Below are 22,282 nucleotides of genomic sequence, written 5' to 3' on the forward strand. Positions count from 1 at the left end.
TATAAACATATACAATATATTCATGACACTAAAACATTAAACTTTCGTGTGGGGAGGAGAGGAGGGTCAGGGAAAAAAAAAAAGCCTAAGAAGATTCCTTAAAGTTGTGTAATGAAATAAAGGTTGAGAAACAATGCCCCAGACAGAATACAGTGATACACAGTAAACCTTTTTCAGAAAAATATTGTCATTTGTGCTAGCATAACCTGGAATCATTACAGATAATTCATGGCATTTCATAAAACATTATACCTCTGTATAGCACACACATGAGATGGGGCTGTTAAAAGCTAGATTACCTCTATAATAAGTGTTTAAGTTATAATGTATCTCAAAATAGTAATATCTAGGATACATTATCTTCTGCTCTTAACAACATGCCCCAACTTTGGCAATCTTGAGTTCTCATTTTAGATTAGATTTGATGTATTCTGGTTTACTTTTGTCCCAAAAGTTCCAAAATAATGTAGTAAATAGTTGACTACTCTCATGTTCACTGATCATTATATAGCAAGTCCTCGAATACCATCATTTTGTTCAATGTTTTTGTTATACTGCTGATGAGAGAAAAAAATCAATTTCTGGCTGAGGACACTGTATGTGTGGAGTTTACACATTTTCCCCATGCCTGCATGGGTTTTCTCCAGGTACACGTTTCTTCCCAAACTCCAAAGATGTGCACGTTGTTAACTGGTGTGTCTAAATTATTACAGTGTGAGCATGAGTGAGTGTACGTGGGCGTGTGAGTGCTCCCTTCAACAGAATGACATCCTGCCCAGGGTTAGTTCCTGCCTTGCACCCTAAGCTGCTGGGATAGGCTCTAGCTACCTGCAACCTTGAACTGGACTAACTGGGTAAGTAATTATCTTGTTTTTATTAATCCATCTTAAATGTATATATAGCTTACATGTATTTCAATGTTTAATATTAGAAGTGTTTTGGACTTTATTTACAAGTGTGGTGATATTTTTGTGACCAAAAATATGCTGAAGAAATTCTTGTATATATCAGTTAGCCTATGGTAAAATTAGTTTGATTATATATCATTTTGCTTAAAGTTGCAGTTTTCAAGAACCTATTGAACCTATTAAATTAGGCCTTACTATATATATATGATTAGTATCTGCCTACAAAATGTTTATTTATCATCATTAAGTATCTGACTATAACCAATTCTCAGTCAGGTAACAGGAAATTTTAGGCACAAATTAATTCTAAATCTCTGGTGTTAGATGAATGAAAATCCAAATATGATGAAAATACTGGCTGGGCACAGTGGCTCATGGCTATAATCCCAGCACTTTGGGAGGCCGAGGCGCATGGATCACTTGAGGTCAGGAGTTCCAGAACAGCCTGGCCAATATGGTGAAACCCAGTCTCTACTAAAAATACAAAAATTAGCCGGGCGTGGTGGTGAGCGCCTGTAATCCCAGCTACTTCAGAGGCTGAGGCAGGAGAATCACTTGAACCTGGGAGGCAGAGGTTGCAGTAAGCCAAGATCTCACTGCTGCACCCAGCCTGGATGACAAGAGTGCAATTCTGTCTCAAGAAATAAATAAATAAAATAGAAAATACAAACTAGGCACTAATCATCTCTTATCAGTATAATACAAATCGTTATTCTACAACTAATATTAGTTATTACTGTTTTTTCCTTTTATTCCTAAAAACAACTTAAGAATAAAAGAAGTGTATTTTTTTGTGTAAACTTACTGACAAAGGTCCCCGAATAGGTAAGAAAGTATGCCTGAGTTTCCTTCTTAACATAATATTATCTTCAGCCTACTTTTATTATAAGTGGAGGTGGTAATGAGTAACTAAATGAATTGAAGGGGAAACAACCGAAAAAGAGAAGAAAGGATAAGATCCTAACTATATGAAGGGTATTTTTTCTTCCTACTTGTAGAGAGGGAAAGATAAAAAGAGAGGTTTAAAGCAAGCAAGAGATAGTAAAGCACGCTATGTGAAAACATCTCCTTCACATATTTTATTATTTCCTAGAAAGATTAGTAATTTAATGTTCGTTAAGCATGCAAATAATTCTTAGGAAGCCGTACCTTATGTTGTCTTATATTACTAGATCCACAAATAACAGGGACAAGGTTTCTGTCTATAAAGTTACAATTTACTTGGAGATAGAAGATATATACACAAATAACTGTAATGCAAAGCAAAAATGGTAAGAAAATAGAGCTGACTCACTTCATGGGAAGGGAGGGGCTGGAGAAACCACTACTAAGCTTGGAAATTATGTGATGTTTGAAGGTGCAGATGAGTACTGAAGGATGGTTGGGAATCCCAAAGAAGCTGACAGAAAGTATATATGCAATCATATTTGGGGAACATGTCCAGTTTGGATGCAGCACAAGGTTTATGAAGGGTAACAGTTGGAGATACAACAGAAAAGACAAAATGGGTAAGGATCATGAAAAGTTTTAGACAGCAATGAGTACATATATTATTAAATAAACAAAGGAGTGTCATAATCAGAGCCATACTTTTGCAAATGTTTTATTAAATATCTATGTTTTGGTGATATAAAGGTGAATAGAACCAGCAGCTCTTGACCTGTTAGGGGTGTGTCAGTTTTGGTCCTGTTTGACCTCAAACACGTTCTTGACCCTTCTGTCGCTCTCTACTGTATGACATAAAGCTTGACTCTATATAGGCAATGTTCCCCAAGCTCTTCTGTCGGCCTGCTACTGGCTGGGCTCAGTAAATAGGAAGCACTGGTGGGAGGCTGGAGGGCAGGAGGAAGCAGCCATATTTTTCCCCCATTCCCTTTCTGCCTCAGTAGAGTCTCCTCTAAGACTACCACTCCCTCATCAGACAAGTCTTCCACGTTCCGCAGTCAAACCAGCCTCTTGATTGCTTCCTCTCTCCTTATCCTTCTCATTAGCATAGTGGCTTCCTACTGTTGCTAACCACTGAGATGCCTTAGTTGTAAGCTGCTGGGCGTCTTAGCTTTTCTCTCACCAGTGTAAACGAATTCTCTCATTAAATCTTTCCATGTTAAATACTCAGAATGGTTTCTACTTTTTTTACTGCATGCTGTCTCATACAGAAGGTAACAAATCTATTCAAGAAAACCTTCACAGATGATAGTTTTGGGGACTCCCAGAACTCTTGAAGCTTGTCCATTCATCCATGACTAAGACTACTAATAAAACAAAAAACCAAGTAAGTTTCAAATTGGGAAGATGAAAAAGTTCCAGAAACTGATGGTAGTGATGGTTGCAGAAAAATGTCAATATAGTTAACACTACTGATCTGTACATTAAAAACAAACAACAACAACAACAACAACAACAACAAACTCATTGTTTTGGGCTTTAAGAACTATACATTTTTAAGTGTTGAATTTTGTTAGTATATTTTATCAAAAAAAAGTAAACACACATCTACAATGAGACATGATAAGGTTGTAACAGAAGTACAATGCTATGGCAACATTTAAGAAGTACTGACTGTACTTGCTGAATGAAGTTTCAGAGATCAGGCATGACCTGAACCTTGAATAGAAGTGTACTAGGAAGACAAAGAGAAGTAGAATACATACAAGAATTTTCAAAGAAACTTCAATTCGTTTGGCATGTCTGCAGCATAAAACAGATGTTAGGAAGTTGAGATCAAGTTGGAGAGGTAGGTAGGATCAGTTCCACAGAGCACCTTGAATAAATAGATAAAAACTGAACTGATGGCCCAGAGGCAACAAACACTTTGATGTATTCTGGCCCACACAACATTTTGTAAAATCCCAGCAAGGCAATAAGGGCTACTTAAGTGGAGTAGTGAGATGCAAAAGTCAGAGTGCAGTATCCTGAAGGATAAAAGGTAGGTGAAGAACAGCAACTAAGTGGAATTCATTGTTCTTTGAATAAATTTGACTTGTGAAAGGGTGACACAGAACATAAGACAGAATGTTCTGTTTAATGGGTGTCTAATGTCTAGTGGGGTCCAGAAAAGTGTTTTTTTGTGTGTATGTTTAAGAATTTAAAAAAAACCTAATTATCTGAACACTAAGGGGAGAAAACTTAACTTCTCTATGTTCAGCAATTGGCACAGTGTTTGGAACATACTAGGCACCCAAAGATTTGCTAGAAAAAAAACATTATGAAGGGACCAATAACAAGAGGAGCTGAAGATGGCGAGGGGGTACTGATAGGAAAAGAATCATGAGTAAATAATAAACCTCATATGAGAAAGATATACACGATATGTATCTATTTAAGATGTAAAATGATAAACGACAAAAGTAAGAGCATTAGGCATGGGGAGGCTTTTTTGTATTGTATACTCCTGCCCATCTGAAATTTTTAGTAAGAATAGAATTATCTCAACTTTCAGACTAAAAGGTATAGTGTGAAAGCTTCAGGGAGATTTGTAACAACAGTAAATAAAATGAATTGCGAGGACAACTGTCTGGGAAGCCATGACAGAAGTCCAAAAGAGAAGTAATGGCAGGCACATTGCGGGATTGGTGGCAGTGAAAATGGAATGTGAATGACAAAGATTTTTAAGATAAGAAAACCATGGCTGGCGTTTTTTGTCCATTAAATGAAAAGCAGGAAGTCAGCAGAGTAGCTGGTTTGTGGAGAAAGAATACTCACACATCGATGTGAATTATTTCAATTAGAAAATGATACTGCTTTCTTAGGGCTTTCTTAACTAGGGGTGATTCTGCCCTCCAGGGGACATACTAGCAATATCTAGAGACATTTTCACTGATCACAACTGGGTAAGGGTAGGGTGGGGAACGGGTGTCCTACTGTAATCTAGTGAATAGAAGCCAGGAATGCTGCTAAACATCCTACAATGTTTGAGCACAGGATAGCTCCCCACAATAAAGAATTATGAGGCCCAAAATGTTAACAGTACTGAGGCTGAGAAACCATGTTTAAGACTATAGTTACCGAAACTCAACTAGATTACCAAACTGCCAAAACTCAGAATTCTTAAGCAAAAGATTAATCAGACATTAACAAAACATTAAACTTGTCATTAAGTTTCTTCAAAAATGGATGGTGGAACCATTTCCGTTTAACGTTTCCTGCAAAATGTGCTTATCAAGAGCCCTGCGCAAATAACATTTTTGTGGACAGCGCTGGGCATTTAAAAGAGGCACAAGACAAATGGGTTTTCCGAACAATAAAATAATAGTAGTAATGGCTGTGAATACTATGGGAGGTTTCATCACAGATGCTTGCCATTTACTTTTAGGGACGTCGCATACGACGTCCGTAAATTACTGGCTCGGGTTTTGAGCTTTACCTGGCTCTCGTCCCCTGTAGTACAATCCTCTTTATTCTTTCAGGGGACAAACAACAACAAAACCCGTCTCTCACACAGACAATACACCCTGACAGACAAGTGACCCACAAACAATCCCTCCTCAAATGAAGGTAAAACTAGGGCTAGAAAACGTTCAACTAATTTAAGGCAATTAACCCTCTGAAATTTTTCGCTGATCAAAGGAACAGGAATTGCTGTTTTAAAATATGCAACTGGCATTTCACACCTCTACACTGGACGACGTATTGCGTGGAGGATGGAGAAGGAAGATCACCCCTACTCCCAAATTCGTAGTTATAAGGGCGGGTTATTAGAAGGGCGCCAGGAAGGTCTCTCTACAAAGATGGGGGGCCGGGGAACTCCCTATTTGCCCTATTTTGGTCCCAACACTGAACCAAGGAAATTGCGCCCAAGGTTGAAGCACACGCAATCCGTCCGTCATGCAGACAAATGCTCTTTCAGGGGTCCTAATTAAGTGTGGAGGCCTGACTTTCCTTCCGAATCCGCCCCAGGTGTTCCACCCCGAGCTTCCCCTCGGGCTTCCCCTCGCCACGCAGCCTCTGAAGAGAGGAGCATCTACATACAAAGAGGCTTAAACTGCCCAGAACCTCCGAATGACGAAGAATCACCGCCAGTCTCAACTCGTAAGCTGGGAGGCAAAACCCCAAAGCTTCCCTACCAAGGGAAAACCTTTGGCCTCAAAGGTCCTTCTGTCCAGCATAGCCGGGTCCAATAACCCTCCATCCCGCGTCCGCGCTTACCCAATACAAGCCGGGCTACGTCCGAGGGTAACAACATGATCAAAACCACAGCAGGAACCACAATAAGGAACAAGACTCAGGTTAAAGCAAACACAGCGACAGCTCCTGCGCCGCATCTCCTGGTTCCAGTGGCGGCACTGAACTCGCGGCAATTTGTCCCGCCTCTTTCGCTTCACGGCAGCCAATCGCTTCCGCCAGAGAAAGAAAGGCGCCGAAATGAAACCCGCCTCCGTTCGCCTTCGGAACTGTCGTCACTTCCGTCCTCAGACTTGGAGGGGCGGGGATGAGGAGGGCGGGGAGGACGACGAGGGCGAAGAGGGTGGGTGAGAGCCCCGGAGCCCGAGCCGAAGGGCGAGCCGCAAACGCTAAGTCGCTGGCCATTGGTGGACATGGCGCAGGCGCGTTTGCTCCGACGGGCCGAATGTTTTGGGGCAGTGTTTTGAGCGCGGAGACCGCGTGATACTGGATGCGCATGGGCATACCGTGCTCTGCGGCTGCTTGGCGTTGCTTCTTCCTCCAGAAGTGGGCGCTGGGCAGTCACGCAGGGTTTGAACCGGAAGCGGGAGTAGGTAGCTGCGTGGCTAACGGAGAAAAGAAGCCGTGGCCGCGGGAGGAGGCGAGAGGAGTCGGGATCTGCGCTGCAGCCACCGCCGCGGTTGATACTACTTTGACCTTCCGAGTGCAGTGGTAGGGGCGCGGAGGCAACGCAGCGGCTTCTGCGCTGGGAAATTCAGTCGTGTGCGACCCAGTCTGTCCTCTCCCCAGACCGCCAATCTCATGCACCCCTCCAGAGTGGCCCTTGACTCCTCCCTCTCCTCACTCCATCTTTCCTGGCCTCTCTCCGGGTGCTTAGCGGACTTGGCCAATAACCTCCTCCTTTTAAACGCCCTGAATTGAACCCTGCCTCCTGCGCATCCTCTTTTTGTGTCACCTTAGGGTTCAGATTTAACTACGCGACTTGACTAGTCATCTTTTGATCTCTCTCTCGTATTTAGTACTTTTAGTCAGCGAGCATTTATTGATATTTCAACTTCAGCCTCGCGGTTAAGAGCTTGGGCTCTGGAATCATACGGCTGGAATTGGAATTCTGTCAGTCGTGTGGCCGCTCTCTACTGTCTTGTGAAGATAAGTGAGATAATCTTGACCTGTGGTGAGCACTCGTGAGCGTTAGCTGCTGTATTTACCAGGTACAGATAAGACAACTACAGTGGATGATAATGTATGTGGTGATAGGGGAGTACTCTGATGGTAGAGGAGTGACTTTGGTTCTCTGCAAACTCAGCCTGAGACTATCAATTCAGTTTGTGGTGAGACCTCGCAGTGTTACCTTGGCAGATGGTAGAAGCCTTCCAGATGGAAGGAAAAATGCGTGTAAAGGCACAAAGTGTAGAAGGACCCTGAAGCTCCAGCGTGAGGCCTGGCATTGAATGAAATATATTTTGTGGGTTTTCAGCTGCTGAAGTCATAGGAATGGATGAGACCAAGAAAACAAAGCTGTTTTTGAGGTATGAGCGGAAGAAGAGATATCAGGAGACTTTCGAAACAGTCATAACGGAAGTTAATATGATCATTGCTAACATTTGCTGTGTTTCAGGCACTGTAAGCATGTATATGGGTCCTTAAAGGGACTCATAGAGGTAGGTACTAGTATTGTTTTTCCTTTTATCATTGAGAAACTGAGGTTTGAAGAGATTAGTGAACTTGCTCTAGATTATACAGTTTGTAAGTGGCTGAACCAGGATTTGAACTAATACAATCTGACTACAGAGGCCACACTCCTTAGCACTAGAAAAGAATGGCATGCCAAGGGCAGAGTTATTTCTAGGAAGATGGGATATAAGCGTCATTGTCAAGTTGTGCAAAGGGGTCAACTTGGTTGAGATCTAAAAAGGAACACTGAATTCGTCAATTCAGAGGCTCGTAGGAAGTAGGAAATCCTTATCTTTTCGTTTGAACCTTGAGTGGAACCTAGATATTCTGGATTAATGTATAAATGAAGTTCATCTTTATATGGTGACACTCATACTCTAGTTGACTACCTAATAGTTCCTCTGCCTTCTTTCAGTTCCGCCAACATACTGTGTTCTTTAACATTGTAGAACCCTTTGGCTATGCTAGTCTCCTTCCCTGAAGTGTTGGTCCTCTAGCCCTTTTTTTGATTGGCACCAGTTAGTTCAGATCTTGGCTTTATTATAAACTCCTCTGAGATATATGTTCCCTGACAGTTTATCTAAAATGATTCTCTCTACAGTTATTTTCTATTACTGTGTTTTTGTTTCCTCAGAGGCATACATCACAATTTGGAATTATGCATTGGTTTATCAATTTACTTGTTTATTGTCACCCTGCTGCCCAGATATGACTTCATGAGGGTAGGATTTGTATCTGTTTAGTTCATTATTTGTCTAGCTATAAGTAGTAAATATTGTTTGCATCTATCAGTGAATGAGCATCTTCTGTTTATGTAGATAATACTGAACTGTTTTGTTTTCTTCAAAGTAATCATTAAGCTGAAGGTAAGAAAAACAAGTTCAAGGAAGTCACACCATGGGGAAAAAAAAGTCAAGTTTAGGGCTGCCTCTTCCGGGAAGTGTCAAATCTTTAGTATATTTAGGAATAAAGGTGCCAAACCTTATGGTTCTTTGGATATTGCTAAGGTATTTTCATTGGTTAGATTACCAGTTTCATTTTCCTTATTGACTCAAGAGGGCTTTAAACTGAGATTGAAGAAGTAAGAAGATTCCTAGATAAAACCATAAGGAATGGAAAAACAAAAATGATAATACTTGTCCACAGGAAGTATATAATCAAATGAAAAGAACTCAAATAACAATCTGTAATCTATAGCAGAGTAAAGCGGAAGTTGTAATAGTGTTGGGGGATGGGGGAAGTCAGAAGAACCACCAGTGAATATAAAAGGAGAAGAGAATCAGAGCCATCTGCTAATAAAATGGGTAGTCAGCTCTTTTTGTTTTTTTTGTCTTGTTTTGTTTTGAGACAGTCTCGCTCTGTCGCCCATGCTGGAGTGCAATTGCGTGATCTCAGCTAACTGCACTTTCCGCCTCCTGGGTTCAAGTGAGTCTCCTACCTCAGTCTCCCCAGTAGCTAGGATTGCAGGCACATGCTACCACACCTGGTTAATTTTTGTATTTTTAGTAGAGACGGGGTTTCACGATGTTGGCCAGGCTGGCTGGTCTCGAACTCCTGACCTCGTGGAACGCCCACCTCGGCCTCCCAGAGTGCTGGGATTACAGGCATGAGCCACCACGCCTAGCCCCGGTAGTCAGCTCTTACTGAGAATATTCAAAGACAGGGCATTCATTTTGTAAGAGACATTCCTTCCTTCATAGGAAGATTGGACCTGGTCTTTTAGTTCCTCCCAATTTTGAGATTCTGTGAGATTGAATCGGGGCAGAGAAACATACTTAATCTTGAAAGATTAAGTAGAATTTAGATGGATGGATAGGAGAAGGACTTTCCCTACCTTTTTACTTCTTGAGATATAGTTATTTGTAGGTATAATATACATAAATATATGTATTTTTTCTCTGTTTACAGACATTCATAGTTTAATAAAAAACTTCTTTGTATTATATAAAGGTTTAGATCAGAACTAGTAAAACAGAATGCTGTTTCTTTTTTTTTCTTTTCTATTTTACTTTAGGTTCTGTGGGTAGATGTGCGGGTTTGTTACATGGGTAAATTGCATGTTGCTGAGGCTTGGTGTACGAATGATCCTGTCACTCAGGTAGTGAGCATAGTACCTGATAGGTAGCCCTTCAAGCCATACCTCCCTTTCTTTCCAACCCTCAAACAGTCCCCAGTCTCTGTTCTTCCCATCTTTGTGTCCATGTTGAAATGCTGTTCTTACTACATTTTTTTGAAGGACATCAAAAGAGAGTTTGATTATATCAGAAGCCCCCAAAAGAAGAGAGCTACTCAGTGGAATCAAGGCATAGTAAAATATAGTTGATCCTTGATATTTGCAAAGGATACCACCATAGCATAGAATTTGCTTCATTTCCTTTTAAAACAGAAATGTCATTTTACTCCTATTGTTATGTGTTAAATAAGAACCTTAATACCAGTTGAGATGGAAGTGGTAGACAAAGCTTACTAGCTCTGATAACCTCCTACTTATCAGCTCCAAAGCATGTTTTAAGCCTTTGGCTCAGCAAAATGACATGTCTCTCCATATAAGCAAGAGTGCTTTTTTTTTTTTCTTTGAGACGGAGTCTTGCTCTGTCACCAGGCTGGAGTGCAGTGGCGCGATCTCCGCTCACTGCAACCTCTGCCTCCTGGGTTCAAGCGATTCTCCTACCTCAGCCTCCTGAGTAGCTGGGACTACAAGAGCACACTACCACGCCTGGCCAAGAGTGCTTTTAAATAGTTCATTGTCAATGTTAAATCCTTGAGTGCTCATTTCCTTATTTACCTGGCTGTTTTCTATTCATCTTTCATGTCTCAATTTAAATGTCATGTTTCTTTGGTCTCAGAGTAATAAAAAGTAAATATACTTCCCCCATCTCCCGCCCCGCAGAGCCTTCCTCTGTTGCCCAGGCTGGAGTACAGTGGCTCGATCTTGGCTCACTGAAAGCTCTGCCTCCCAGATTCAAGCGATTCTCCTGCCTCAGCCTCCTGAGTAGCTGGGATTACAGGCGCGCGCCACCAAGCCCGGCTAATTTTTGTATTTTTAGTAGAGACAGGGTTTCACCATGTTGGTCAGGCTGGTCGAACTCCTGACCTTGTGATCCTCCCACCTTGGCCTCCCAAAGTGCTGGGATTACAGGCGTGAGCCACTGCGTCCAGTGTAAATTATACTTTTATTTTAATCCTGCTACTACTGCAAGCAAGGCAAACATTTTTGTGTTACAGCATTACTTGTATAGATTTTAAGAAAATCTCATTTTAAATACGGAAATGTTAAGAAAAATTATTGTGCCTTTGACCAGAATGTGCCTCTAATTGTACAGTTAAATCTAACTATAAATACTGCAGTATAAAATAATTATATACACATTTTTTCACACCTCTTTCTCTCTATATATGCATATATACATATACATATATATACCTATATGTATTTTTTTTACAGACAGTGATGTGTGTTCTGAAATTGTGAACCATGAGTCTAGTACTTAATGATCTGCTTATCTGCTGCCGTCAACTAGAACATGATAGAGCTACAGAACGAAAGGTAGTAAATTACTTAAATTCAATTTTTCCTTGAAATAAGTGTGATTAGTAACCCATTATTATTTCCTTTTTATTTTCAGAAAGAAGTTGAGAAATTTAAGCGCCTGATTCGAGATCCTGAAACAATTAAACATCTAGATCGGCATTCAGATTCCAAACAAGGAAAATATTTGAATTGGGATGCTGTTTTTAGGTATTCTATTCAAATTTATTTTACTGTCTTTATTTTTCTCTTTCATATTTATTTCTGTTGTGATATTACTTTTGTGTGTAAGTCTTAACATTTATCTTTGCTTCCTATATATCATTATGCCTTGCATATGAATTTGGCATTTAATATTTATCCAAAACATAATTTTTAAAGGTTGTTCATATAGAAACTTAAAAATTATAAATTATTTCTTCAATAAAATGTTTTAGACATATCTCACTCAAAATTGAGAGAGAATTTCTTTCATTTTAGTTAGTTCACAAGACTTCAGATTAGAGGAAAAAATTATAATAAATGTTAGGATATTATTTTCACACCTTTAAATATTACTCTGATTATAAGTAAATGCTGTGTGTTAAATTGTAATAAAACAAGTAAAAGGAAGATTGGAATACTTGTGTATGAATTTGGTTAAAAACAAAAAATACCTCGAACAATGAAAAAACACAACTGATTGCTGGACAGGAGTGGCAAACAGGGTTGATGCATTTTTACATTGAGACATCATTTTCAACCGTGAAATCCATTTATAACTAGAAACAGATTGTAAGGATTAGGAAAGATGAATAAAGTATTTTAAATACTGAGAGTATTAAATAAACTAGAAATAACATTTGTAGTCAAGAGGAAGTGTGTATTTAGTTGTCCTTCAGTGTTTATGACAGATTCTGTTTTATTTTTAGCTCCTGTTTGGTATTAGATTGACTGTTACAGATTTGAAAGCATATAAAATGAAACATGCATGCTGTTTTTCCTCTGATTTTCTAGTTTATTTTAAATACCACAAATATAATTACAACCTGAAGATGAATACTATTTTGTATAAGCTGATCTGGTAGGTCAAATATGCACCCAGCATTCCTGGCTAGTTATGAATATCTTCTAGGCAGGCTTAATTTATTGGCTGGCAACATTACCAACTGCCTAAGAAACAGGTAGATCCTGTACAGAATAACAGAAGGAGTTGAGAGAGGATTGAGAGGGTCCTTACTAGCATTGTAAGCTTTTAATGACAAATTTAGAAAACAGGCAGTAAAGCAATAGAAAGTCATAGAAGATTAAGAGCTTTGCAGACCAGATATTAAATTGGTCTTGTAGGAGTTAGGCCTTGAAAGAGAGATTTAATTGTTTTATTTGTTTTTTTCAGCTGATGTAGTAATCTAAGCAAGGTGGTTTAAAAGTTGCTCTTTGTGATGGCATGAACAGCTTTTGAAATTATTATAATTTAAGTATTCAACGAGTTTCTGAAATTGCATTTTGTTTTCTTGAAGATTTTTACAGAAATATATTCAGAAAGAAACAGAATGTCTGAGAATAGCAAAACCAAATGTATCAGCCTCAACACAAGCCTCCAGGCAGAAAAAGATGCAGGAAATCAGTAGTTTGGTCAAATACTTCATCAAATGTGCAAACAGAAGTAAGTGATGTTATAAATTATAAATAAATGGCTTAACAGATTACTGTCGCGTGAGTTTTTTTTTTTTTTCAGATCATTTTAAGGACTTAACTGTTGCATAAGTTTGTTCTAAATAGAATAAGATAAAAGTTGAGTGTAAGTACATATAATGATTTTTATTTTTATTAAAAGGTTTTTTTTTAGGGCTAGTCAAGTGAAGCAGTGGGAGTTTAGAAGGAACAAAGAAATCTGTAACTGGTTGTGATCAATTCGTTGTAAACACCACTGCACTCAGGCCAGCCTGATTTTTAATATTACAAGTTCAAATATTTGGGGAAATTTATGCAAGCATAGAATGACAGAAATCTGAGGATTGAAGGGATTTATTTATTTAAGAGATAGGGTGTCACTCTGTCACCCAGGCTGGAGTGCAATGGTGTGATGATAGCTCACTGCAGGCTGAAGCTTCTCTGTTCCTAAGTGATCCTCCTGTCTTGGCTTCCTAGTAGCTAGGACTACAGAAGTGCATCACCATGCCAGGCTGATTTTTTTTTTTTTTTTTAAGAGGTGTTATTTCACTGTTCTGCCCAGGCTGATCTTGAACTCCTGGCCTCAAGCAGTCCTCCCCCTGCTCAGCCTCCCTAGTTATTGGTATTACAGATGTGAGCCACCATGCCCAGTGAAGGAATTAAAAATTACTGTTTAAACTACCCAGTCTTGGATGCCCTCTCTACGTCCCTAGCCTTTAGGTAGAAGTGCAGTCTTCATGATTGAATATACTTTCAAGGCTTTCTTTTCCATCTTTGAATAGCATTAACAGTATTAAAAACTGGCCAGGCGCAGTGGCTCATTCCTGTAATCCCAGCACTTTGGGAGGCCAAGGCAGGCAGATCACCTGAGGTCAGGAGATCGAGACCAGCCTGACCAACATGGCAAAACCCCGTCTCTACTAAAAATACAAAAATTAATTGGGCATTGTGGCGCACGCTTGTAATTCCAGCTACTTGGGAGGCTGAGGCACTAGAATTGCTTGAACCCAGGAGGCAGAGGTTGTGGTGAGCTGAGATTACGCCACTACACTCCATCCTGGGCGACAGAGCGAGACTGTCAAAAAAAGAAAAGTATTAAAAACCTGTCTTTTGTTACTGCTTCTCCCTTCTGAGAGTATATCAAAAACTCCTATTTATGTTTTTAGTGTGACATCCTTAGAGATGTTTGAAAGTAGCCACAATATTTCCTAAGTCCTCATCTCTAAAGTTCATAATCTCACTTTCTTCAGCTCACGTGACCTAGGTTTTATGCTACTCTCCTCTGAATATTCTTCACTTTAATTGTCTGTCTTAAAGTGTGGGCCTCTACTTACAGGGAAGAGGCCAGAAAAACAAACAAAAAAGTGTGGGACTCATTTTTTTTAATACAGGCTCTTGCTCTGTAGCCCAGGCTGGAGTGCATGCAGTGGTGCAATCTTGGCTCACTGCAGCCTCCGCCTCCCAGGCTCAGGTGATCCTCCTGCCTCAGCCTCCCAAGTAGCTGGGACTATAGGCATGGGCCACCATGTCTGGCTAATTTTTGTATTTTTAATAGAGACAGGGTTTCACTGTGTTGGCCAGGCTAGTCTCAAACTCCTGACCTCAAGTGATTTTCCCGCCTTGGCCTCCTGAAATGCTGGGATTACAAGCGTGAGCCACTGCACCTGGCCAGGACTCAATCTTTTAGGTATATTCTGATTAGTACAGAGTGAAGCAATTCTTGCTTATCTTTCATTCTGTACTCTTACTGATTAATTCTAAGATCATGTGAGCTTCCTTGGCTGTCAGAACCAACACTTAACTGACATTTTACTTGCTATGATTTGAGGAAAAAAACAACCCCCAAAAATATTTTTTTCTCCTGATGAGCCAAATAGTTCCCATCTTTAACTTGTACAATTAATATTGTGAAGAGTTGATTTTTCGGAACCAAAATGCAGGATCCTGGCAAGCTTTTGTAAGGAAATGGGCTTTACACATACTGAAAAGCTAGAGGCAGAAGTGTGTGTTCAGGGACTCCTGGGCTCTTCACAGATAAGGATGTTGCTTTGTGATACCAACTCTTAATTTAAGAATCAGGAGTGTGAGGCGCGGTTGCTCACACCTGTAATCCCAGCACTTTGGGAAGCTGAGGCGGGCAGATCACCTGAGGTCAGGAGTTCGAGACCAGCCTGGCCAATATAGCGAAACCCCATCTCTACTAAAAGTACAAAAAATAGCTGGGTGTGGTGGCGGGTGCCTGTAATCCCAGCTTCTCGAGAAGCTGAGGCAGGAGAATTGCTTGAACCTGGAAGGTGGAGGTTGCAGTGAGCTGAGATTGTGCCATTGCACTCCAGCCTGGGCAACAAGAGTGAAACTCTGTCTCAAAAAAAAAAAAAAAAAAAAAAAGAATCAGGAAAGCCCCCAAATTGGTAAATATTTAGTAGAAGTATGCAGATTATTAGTGAATATTTCAGATTGGTGGTATGAGACTTGAGTCCAAAGAATAATGGTTTAGTCAATTTTCTACCTCCTCTGAGATGCGAGTTCGTGTGGATAGCTTCAACCCCTTGTCAGAGACTCCAGCAGAGACAAAGGAAAACTACACCAAAATATTCTGCACTCACTTTTGCTCTGTGTAGTAGCTTTGTATCCAGTAAAATATTTTATTTGCTAATAATGCTGGGATATAGTAGGTACTTACTGAAAGAGTGAATGAGAGAAAGATAACATGTCAATTTTGTAGCCCACCAGAAAAGTTTGCAATGTGTACAGTAGTTTTGCCTTGCAGTGAACAAACCTTTTAATTGCAACATTAACAATGGAGATTACGTTTGAAAATGCATCAGCCTGTTGGTTTATAAGAAATAGTTGGTGAAATTATCAATGCTGGTCATGTAAGTAGTTGAAAATTTGTTTTTTTATTTACGGCTTCCTTTTCTTTCAAATTTGACTTTGTTACTTAAACCTTTTTAATATTGGGGCAAAACCAGGGAGTTACTATTCCCTCACCCCACTTCAGTTGTTTTTGTTTGTTTGTTTGTTTGTTTTTTACGAAAAGATTGGAGGGTTGATGGAAATTTAACATATGTCTAAACTTTGCCATTCTTGCTTAGCATTGGTATCCAAGGTATGATGAAAGAAATAGAGATTAGTAAAAAAGAAGTAAAAGGCAGCTGAGAAGAAACAAGTAAGCAAATATTGTTGATTTCTCTCCTTTTTTTTTTTTTTTTTTTTTTTTTTTTTTGAGACAGAGTCTTGCTTTGTTGCCTAAGCTGGAGTGCAGTGGTGCAGTCTTGGCTCACTGCAGCCTCTTCTTCCTGGGCGCAAGCGATTCTCACGTGTCAGCCTCTAGAGTAGCTGGGACTATAGGCACACGCCGCCAGGCCCGGTTAATTTTTGTATTTTTAGTAGAGACGAGGGTTTTGCCATGTTGGCCAGGCTGGTCTCAAACTCCTGGCCTCAAGTGATCTGCCTGCCTCTGCCTTCCAATATGCTGGGATTATAGGTGTGAGCCACCACACTCACACACCCAGCCTACTGTTCATTTCTTTTCTTTTTTTTTTTTTGAGACAGAGTTTTGCTCTTGTTGCTCAGGCTAGAGTGCAATGGCGCCATCTTGGCTCACTGCAACCTCCGCCTCCCGGGCTCAAGCGATTCTCCCGCCTCAGCTTCCCAAGTAACTGGGATTACAGGCATGCCCCACCATGCCCAGCTAATTTTGTATTTTTAGTAGAGACGGGGTTTCACCACATTGGTCAGGCTTGTCTCGAACTCCTGACCTCAAGTGATCCACCTGCCTTGTCATCCCAAACTGCTGGGTTTATAGGCGTGAGCCACTGTGCCCACCCTGTTCATTTCTTTATGTTAGCATTTGTCTGCTTTTGTACAAAGCTTAAATAGAGTCTAGATAGTGCAAAACTCAGCTGCGAAAAATGTTAAGTTCCATAAGATTCCTGAAAGTCTCTGTAAGTAGGCTGGGCACAGTGGCTCATGCCTCTCTAATCCTAGTACTTTGTGAGGCCAAGGCAGGCAGATTGCTTGAGCACAGGATTTTGAGACCAGCCTGGGTAACATGGTGAGACCTCATCTCTACAAAAACACAAAAATTAGCCAGGTGTGGTGGTGACCACCTGTAGTCCCAGCTACTTAGGAGGCTTAGGGAGGAAGATTGCTTGAGCCCAGGGGGCAGTGGTTGCAGTGAGCCACGATCATGCTATTGCACTCCAGTCTGGGTGACAGAGTGAGATCCTGTGTCCAAAAAAAAAAAAAAAAAAAAAGTCTCTGCAGGCAACTTAGTTGTACTTTTAAGAAAGATTTGATCCCAGAAGTTTGAGACCAACCTGGGCAACATAGGGAGACCCCATCTTTAAAAAAACTAAAAAAATTAGCTGAGTGTAGTGGTGCTTGCCTGTAGTCCTAGCTACCTGGGAGGCTGACATGGGTAGATCCCTTAAGTCCAGGAGGTCAAGGCTGCAGTGAGTCATAATGGGGCCACTGCACTCCAGCTTGGGTGACAGAGCGAGATATTCTGTCTCAAAAACAAGCAAAACTATGAAAAAAAAGTCAACATTTCTTGAAATACTTCTCATATTTGGTAGAGGAGGGAGATATATTGGGATAAAGGACATAGGAAGATAGGATTTTATTATAATATTAATTTCTGTAGTTATTCAACACAAATTAATTTTTATTGAGCATTTGCTATTAGGGCAGTCACTGGGCTTTTACGTCAGAATATAGAGATTAATTCCTTTCCTTAAGGATCTAATCATACAATGGATGTTTTAGATTAGAAAAATGTTACAAGGACTATAAGAGAAATGCACAGGGTACTAGAAAAAAGGATCACATGGTTGTGCATTTCATAACTGGACAATGCCTAAAATTATGAAGTGAGCCATAAGTGAAGATGATTTTGCAGTTATATCAGTGTATATTTGTTTACCATAGCCTGTGAATATAACTAGTTTCATCATAGGAAAACCCTAATCCAGAATATATTCATATTTACATGAGTTGTGTTCTGCTCATAGTTATGGCAATAAATATATTCAATTTTAAGATTGTCAGTATGGAAAAATGGCATTTCTGCTGTGACGTAAATATAATTTACTGAAAATGATAATTAAATTATTTTTAAATGTAATTTTGTTACCTTCAAGAATATGTGTGTAGTCATGCCAAGTTTTCAGAATCTCTAGTAAGTAAATAACATGCTGTTAAAAATGACACAGGTACAGGGGTCAAGCACAGTGGCTCATACCTATAGTCTCAGCACTTTGGGAGGCCAAGACAGGAGAATCCCTTGAGCTCAGGAGTTCAAGACCAGCCTGGGGAACATTGTGAGAGATTCTGTCTCTATGAAAAATTTAAAAAATTAGCTGGGCATGGTGGCACAACATCTATAGTCCCAGTTGCTCAGGAGGCTAAGGTGGGAGGATCCCTTGAGCCTGAGAGGTTGAGGCTGCTGTTGGGTGTGATCATGCCACTGCACACCAGCCTGGGTGATAGAGCGAGACCCTGTCTTAAAAAAAAAAATTACAACCTGAGGTGTTTGTATGCCATAAATGCTATTATAGGACTTAGAACTAATTTTGCTTTCCAAGGTAAATATTCTCCTTGTAATCTTATGTTATTCTAATAAATTCATTCTTCATAAAGAGTGCCAAAAAACTTGGGATCATTTTTGGTCTAACACCAGAAATTGTGAATTATTAAGGTTATAATTGTTTAAGAATGATTGCTTTTCGAGATGAGCAGATCACTTGAGGTCAGGAGTTCAAGACCAGCCTGGTCAACATGGTGAAACCCTGTCTCTACTAAAAGTAGAAAAATTAGCAGGGTGTGGTGGTGCACGCCTCTAGTCTCAGCTACTTGGAGGCTGAGGTGGGAGAATTACTTGAACCCAGGAGGTGGAGGCTGCAGTGTGCTGAGTTTGTGCCACTGCACTCCAGCCTGGGTGACAGACCAAGATTCCATCTCAAAAAAAAAAAAAAAAGAATGATTGTTTTTGCTATATATTCCTATAAAAGAGGCGTTGGCAAACTTACTGTGTAAAGAGGCCAGATAGTAAATGTTCTTGACTTTATAGGCCATGTGGTCACCTCTGTCTTAATTACAAAAGCAGCCATAAACAATAAGTAAATGAATGGTTGTGACTATGTTCCAATAAAATGTTATTTGCAAAGAAAAAAAAAATGAATTTTGCTTGGGGCCATAATTTGCCAATTTCTTCTCTACAAAAGAAGTTTAGTTAATAGTAATTTCCCAAATGGAATTATTTAAATAGTTGCCATTCCAAGTGTCTTATTTTTGTTCAAATTTATGTTTTTCTTTATTTGTTTATTTTGAAATAGGAGCACCTAGGCTAAAATGTCAAGAACTCTTAAATTATATCATGGATACAGTGAAAGATTCATCTAATGGTGCTATTTACGGAGCTGATTGTAGCAACATACTACTCAAAGACATTCTTTCTGTGAGAAAATACTGGTGTGAAATATCTCAGCAACAGTGGTTAGGTATGTTTTGAAGGTTGTTGTTTGTGAATTTTTCCTCATGAAATGAAACTTCACCAAAGAAAGCACTCTGTCTGTATCTGTCTATATCCCCCAAGTGACCTGACAGTTTAACAGTACTTTAGTAAAATTATATGGTTATCGAACTGACCCTTAATTTTTATTTATTATGTAGCTTTTGAATAAAGTCATGAATAATATATCAGGTGCCTGATATCAGAGCCGGAATTACAGTTGAAAAATACCATCTCCATCGTCAAGGAGTTGACAGTGGCAGAAGAAAACCCAAGTAAACCAGAGTTCATAATGTGCTGTGATACAGACATATTTGGGTTCAGTAGGTATACAAAACAATGACACCTAAACTCAACCATGATTTAAGTAGAAAGGGAGAAAACCAAGAGAGGGAAGTACCATAAAAGTGAAAGCAGGCAGGGTGCAGTGGCTCACGCCTGTAATCCTAGCACTTTGGGAGGCCAAGGCCGGTGGATTGCTTGAGCTCAGGAGTTCAAGACCAGCCTGGGCAACATGGTGAAACTCTGTCTTTAAAAAAATAGCGGAGGTAATGGCTCTTGCTTGTAGTCCCAGTTACTTGGGAGGCTGAGGCAGGAGGATCACCTGAGCCCTGGAGGTTAAGGCTGCAGTGAGCTGTGATCACACTGCACTCCGGCCTCCATGACAGAGTGAGACCCTGTTTCCATTTAAAAAAAAAAAAAAAAGTGAAAGCAAGAGAGTTGAAAGTTCAAAGGGGCGTGGCCAACATTTTAAGTGTTGTAGAAAGGATAAGACACAAAAGTATCCATTGGATGAGGCAGTTAGCACGCTACTTCTAAGGTAATGGAAATCAAATATATTAGAATAGAATGCATTAGAAGACAATGTACAGAACCCAGTGATTCATTAGATGTGTAGAGTGTGTGCTAGGGAGGAATCTGGTGTTGTTTCCTGTTTATAGCTGGGAGGTACTGAGAGACCACAAAGGAAGGAAGTTATGGTCAGAGATTGAAATACTTCAGTTTGTTGGTTTCAAAGATGGAGCATTTCTGGGTTTGAGAATAAGTGAAAGTAGGATTTGACATTAACAAGATGATTTTAAGTCAGGTGTCAAAGTCTTCTAATACACGAACTCTAAAAGTTTAGAAGCTTTTTTTTTTCATGGAAAGTATTTAAGCTAAATTTTGCTAGCTAAATTAAAAGACATTTGTCCATATTCTTTATTGCCATTTTATTATTTCAAAATGAGATACATGTGAACCACAAAACTACTACCTAATCAGTACCCTCACTCCTGCATTACACTCTACTGTTCCCCTGAGAATAAATGCCTTCTCAGCTAATTTCTTAGGAGTCATTTGTAGCCTTTACGTTACTCTGAACACAAGATAGGCTGTGTCTGTAACAGGGCCCTCAACAAGCCTAGAGACAGCCTTTGGGAATAGGCTGGTGATATCTAGGTTACCTAACCAGATCTTTCCCCAGTATGGCTGGTCATATTTAGGTCATTTTACATTATCACTTACAACCATGGCTGTCACTGAAACAAAGGCAGTCTTTCCCCTAGTCTGCTTACTATATTCTGTCATCTAGTTTGTTCTCTGAAACCCCCTTTTTATTTTTAAACTAACTACTCTTACTTCTTTTTTTTTCTTTTTTCTTTTTATTTAAGCTAACCTTTGCCACTTCTTCCCGGATGTTACTTCTTATAATTAGCTTTTTTGTCAAAGTATTTTTTTACTTAGCTTCCTTTTAAAACTTGCTTAGATGAGGACTCTGTGGAAGAAGCGAAGTCTGTGCTCAAAATATATATTTGGTACAGGTGGTGACTGAAGCCATGACTATGGATGAGATTTGTATATAGAGTTTAGTGTGAGATGAGAAGAATGGCCTAAGATTGAGTCAGCATTTGCATATAAATTTTGGAATCAGCTTACTGATTTCTACAAAAGATCTTGCTGGGATTTTGATACTAATTGCATTGAATCTGTTGCACAATTTGAGAAGAATAGAAATCTTAACAATGTGGAGTTTTCCAATCCATGAACACTGTATATCTCTCCATTTACTTAGGTTTTTTTTTTTTTTTTTTTTTTTTTGCTTCTTTGTTTGTTTTTTTGAGACAGAGTCTCCCTCTGTTGCCCAGGCTGGAGTGCAGTGGCACGATCTCACCTCACTGCAACCTCCACCTCCTAGGTTCAAGCGATTCTCCTGCCTCAGCCTCCTGAGTAGCTGGGATTACAGGCATGTGCCACCACACCCAGCTAATTTTTGTATTTTTAGTAGAGACAGGGTTTCCTCATGTTGGCCAGGCTGGTCTCGAATTCCTGACCTCAGGTGATCCACCTGCCTCAGCCTCCCAAAGTGCTGGGTTTATAGACTTGAGCCACCGCGTCTGGCCACTTGTCTTTTTTGATTTCTTTCATTAGTGTTTTATAATTGTCAGCATATAGATTTTTTGTTGTAAATTGACAATTTTTTTTCTTTAATTTTATATATTAAAAAAAATAGAGACAGGATCTCACTGTGTTGCCTAGGCTGGTCTCAAACTCCTGGGCTCAAGTGATACCCTTCCCTTGACCTCCCAAAGTGTTGGGATTATAGGCATGAGCCAACATGCCCAGCTGCAAATTGACATTTATTTATAATTGTATAAACATAAAGATTTTGTATATGTTTTGTTAGATTTATACTGCAGTAGTTTGTAATTGCATTGTTTTTAACATTTTGATTTTCAAATTGTTCAATGCACAAAAATTATACAGAAGTCCAGTTAATTTTTGTATAGTGACCTTGTATTTTGGGACCTTGCTAAAATCACTTACTAAATCTAGTAGCTTTCTTTGAATGTTCTTTTGGATTTTCTTTGTAGACAAACATGTCTTCTGTAAGCAGTAATTTTT

General features: G+C 39.7%; 2 protein-coding genes across 20 annotated transcripts in view, besides 10 other annotated features; one reads left to right on the forward strand and one right to left on the reverse strand.

The window, feature by feature from the left end:
- NPAT (nuclear protein, coactivator of histone transcription) overlaps nt 1-6,192 on the reverse strand; it is a 65,424-nt gene extending 59,232 nt beyond the window's left edge. For all 3 annotated transcript variants that reach the window (NM_002519.3, NM_001321307.1, XM_011542854.3), the window contains exon 1: nt 6,054-6,192. In NM_002519.3, the coding sequence (NP_002510.2) occupies nt 6,054-6,090 (37 nt within the window). In that variant the 5' untranslated portion in view covers nt 6,091-6,192. The remainder of the gene's footprint in view (nt 1-6,053) is intronic.
- Nucleotides 1,906-2,050: an enhancer, noted in NCBI's record as "145 bp 11:108089151 sequence used in MPRA reporter constructs". NCBI's record gives its function as "activates a minimal TATA-containing promoter with rs73006241 allelic activity by MPRAs in UACC903 melanoma cells {active_cell/tissue: UACC903}" and the evidence as "EXISTENCE:reporter gene assay evidence [ECO:0000049][PMID:36423637]".
- Nucleotide 1,978: a transcriptional cis regulatory region, noted in NCBI's record as "rs73006241 or 11:108089151 MPRA-significant variant associated with a GWAS melanoma risk locus at 11q22.3". NCBI's record gives its function as "allelic transcriptional activity by MPRAs in UACC903 melanoma cells {active_cell/tissue: UACC903}" and the evidence as "EXISTENCE:reporter gene assay evidence [ECO:0000049][PMID:36423637]".
- Nucleotides 2,611-3,112: an enhancer, noted in NCBI's record as "NANOG hESC enhancer chr11:108089784-108090285 (GRCh37/hg19 assembly coordinates)". NCBI's record gives its function as "activates a minimal SCP1, AML or CMV promoter by ChIP-STARR-seq in primed H9 embryonic stem cells {active_cell/tissue: H9 hESC(primed)}" and the evidence as "EXISTENCE:reporter gene assay evidence [ECO:0000049][PMID:30033119]".
- Nucleotides 6,088-6,147: an enhancer, noted in NCBI's record as "active region_5483". NCBI's record gives its function as "activates an Ori minimal core promoter by ATAC-STARR-seq in GM12878 lymphoblastoid cells {active_cell/tissue: GM12878}" and the evidence as "EXISTENCE:reporter gene assay evidence [ECO:0000049][PMID:35858748]".
- Nucleotides 6,558-6,717: an enhancer, noted in NCBI's record as "active region_5484". NCBI's record gives its function as "activates an Ori minimal core promoter by ATAC-STARR-seq in GM12878 lymphoblastoid cells {active_cell/tissue: GM12878}" and the evidence as "EXISTENCE:reporter gene assay evidence [ECO:0000049][PMID:35858748]".
- Nucleotides 6,621-22,282, forward strand: part of ATM (ATM serine/threonine kinase) — a 146,036-nt gene continuing 130,374 nt past the window's right edge. For 3 of the 17 annotated variants that reach the window (NM_000051.4, XM_011542843.3, XM_047426981.1), the window contains exons 1-5: nt 6,621-6,740; nt 11,149-11,250; nt 11,330-11,442; nt 12,732-12,877; nt 19,224-19,388. In NM_000051.4, the coding sequence (NP_000042.3) occupies nt 11,179-11,250; nt 11,330-11,442; nt 12,732-12,877; nt 19,224-19,388 (496 nt within the window). In that variant the 5' untranslated portion in view covers nt 6,621-6,740; nt 11,149-11,178. Of the gene's footprint in view, nt 7,691-8,337; nt 9,129-11,148; nt 11,251-11,329; nt 11,443-12,731; nt 12,921-19,223; nt 19,389-22,282 lie in introns of those variants that run through there. The other 14 variants (XM_011542840.4, XM_047426975.1, NM_001351834.2 and 11 more) reach the window with 14 other exon arrangements.
- Nucleotides 7,028-7,107: an enhancer, noted in NCBI's record as "active region_5485". NCBI's record gives its function as "activates an Ori minimal core promoter by ATAC-STARR-seq in GM12878 lymphoblastoid cells {active_cell/tissue: GM12878}" and the evidence as "EXISTENCE:reporter gene assay evidence [ECO:0000049][PMID:35858748]".
- Nucleotides 7,458-7,507: an enhancer, noted in NCBI's record as "active region_5486". NCBI's record gives its function as "activates an Ori minimal core promoter by ATAC-STARR-seq in GM12878 lymphoblastoid cells {active_cell/tissue: GM12878}" and the evidence as "EXISTENCE:reporter gene assay evidence [ECO:0000049][PMID:35858748]".
- Nucleotides 9,004-9,123: an enhancer, noted in NCBI's record as "active region_5487". NCBI's record gives its function as "activates an Ori minimal core promoter by ATAC-STARR-seq in GM12878 lymphoblastoid cells {active_cell/tissue: GM12878}" and the evidence as "EXISTENCE:reporter gene assay evidence [ECO:0000049][PMID:35858748]".
- Nucleotides 20,203-20,403: a silencer, noted in NCBI's record as "peak1449 fragment used in MPRA reporter construct". NCBI's record gives its function as "represses an SCP1 promoter by STARR-seq MPRAs in K562 erythroleukemia cells {active_cell/tissue: K562}" and the evidence as "EXISTENCE:reporter gene assay evidence [ECO:0000049][PMID:32103011]".
- Nucleotides 20,723-20,923: a silencer, noted in NCBI's record as "peak1450 fragment used in MPRA reporter construct". NCBI's record gives its function as "represses an SCP1 promoter by STARR-seq MPRAs in K562 erythroleukemia cells {active_cell/tissue: K562}" and the evidence as "EXISTENCE:reporter gene assay evidence [ECO:0000049][PMID:32103011]".

The sequence above is a fragment of the Homo sapiens genome, chromosome 11, assembly GCF_000001405.40.
Source record: "Homo sapiens chromosome 11, GRCh38.p14 Primary Assembly".
Lineage (NCBI taxonomy): Eukaryota > Metazoa > Chordata > Mammalia > Primates > Hominidae > Homo > Homo sapiens.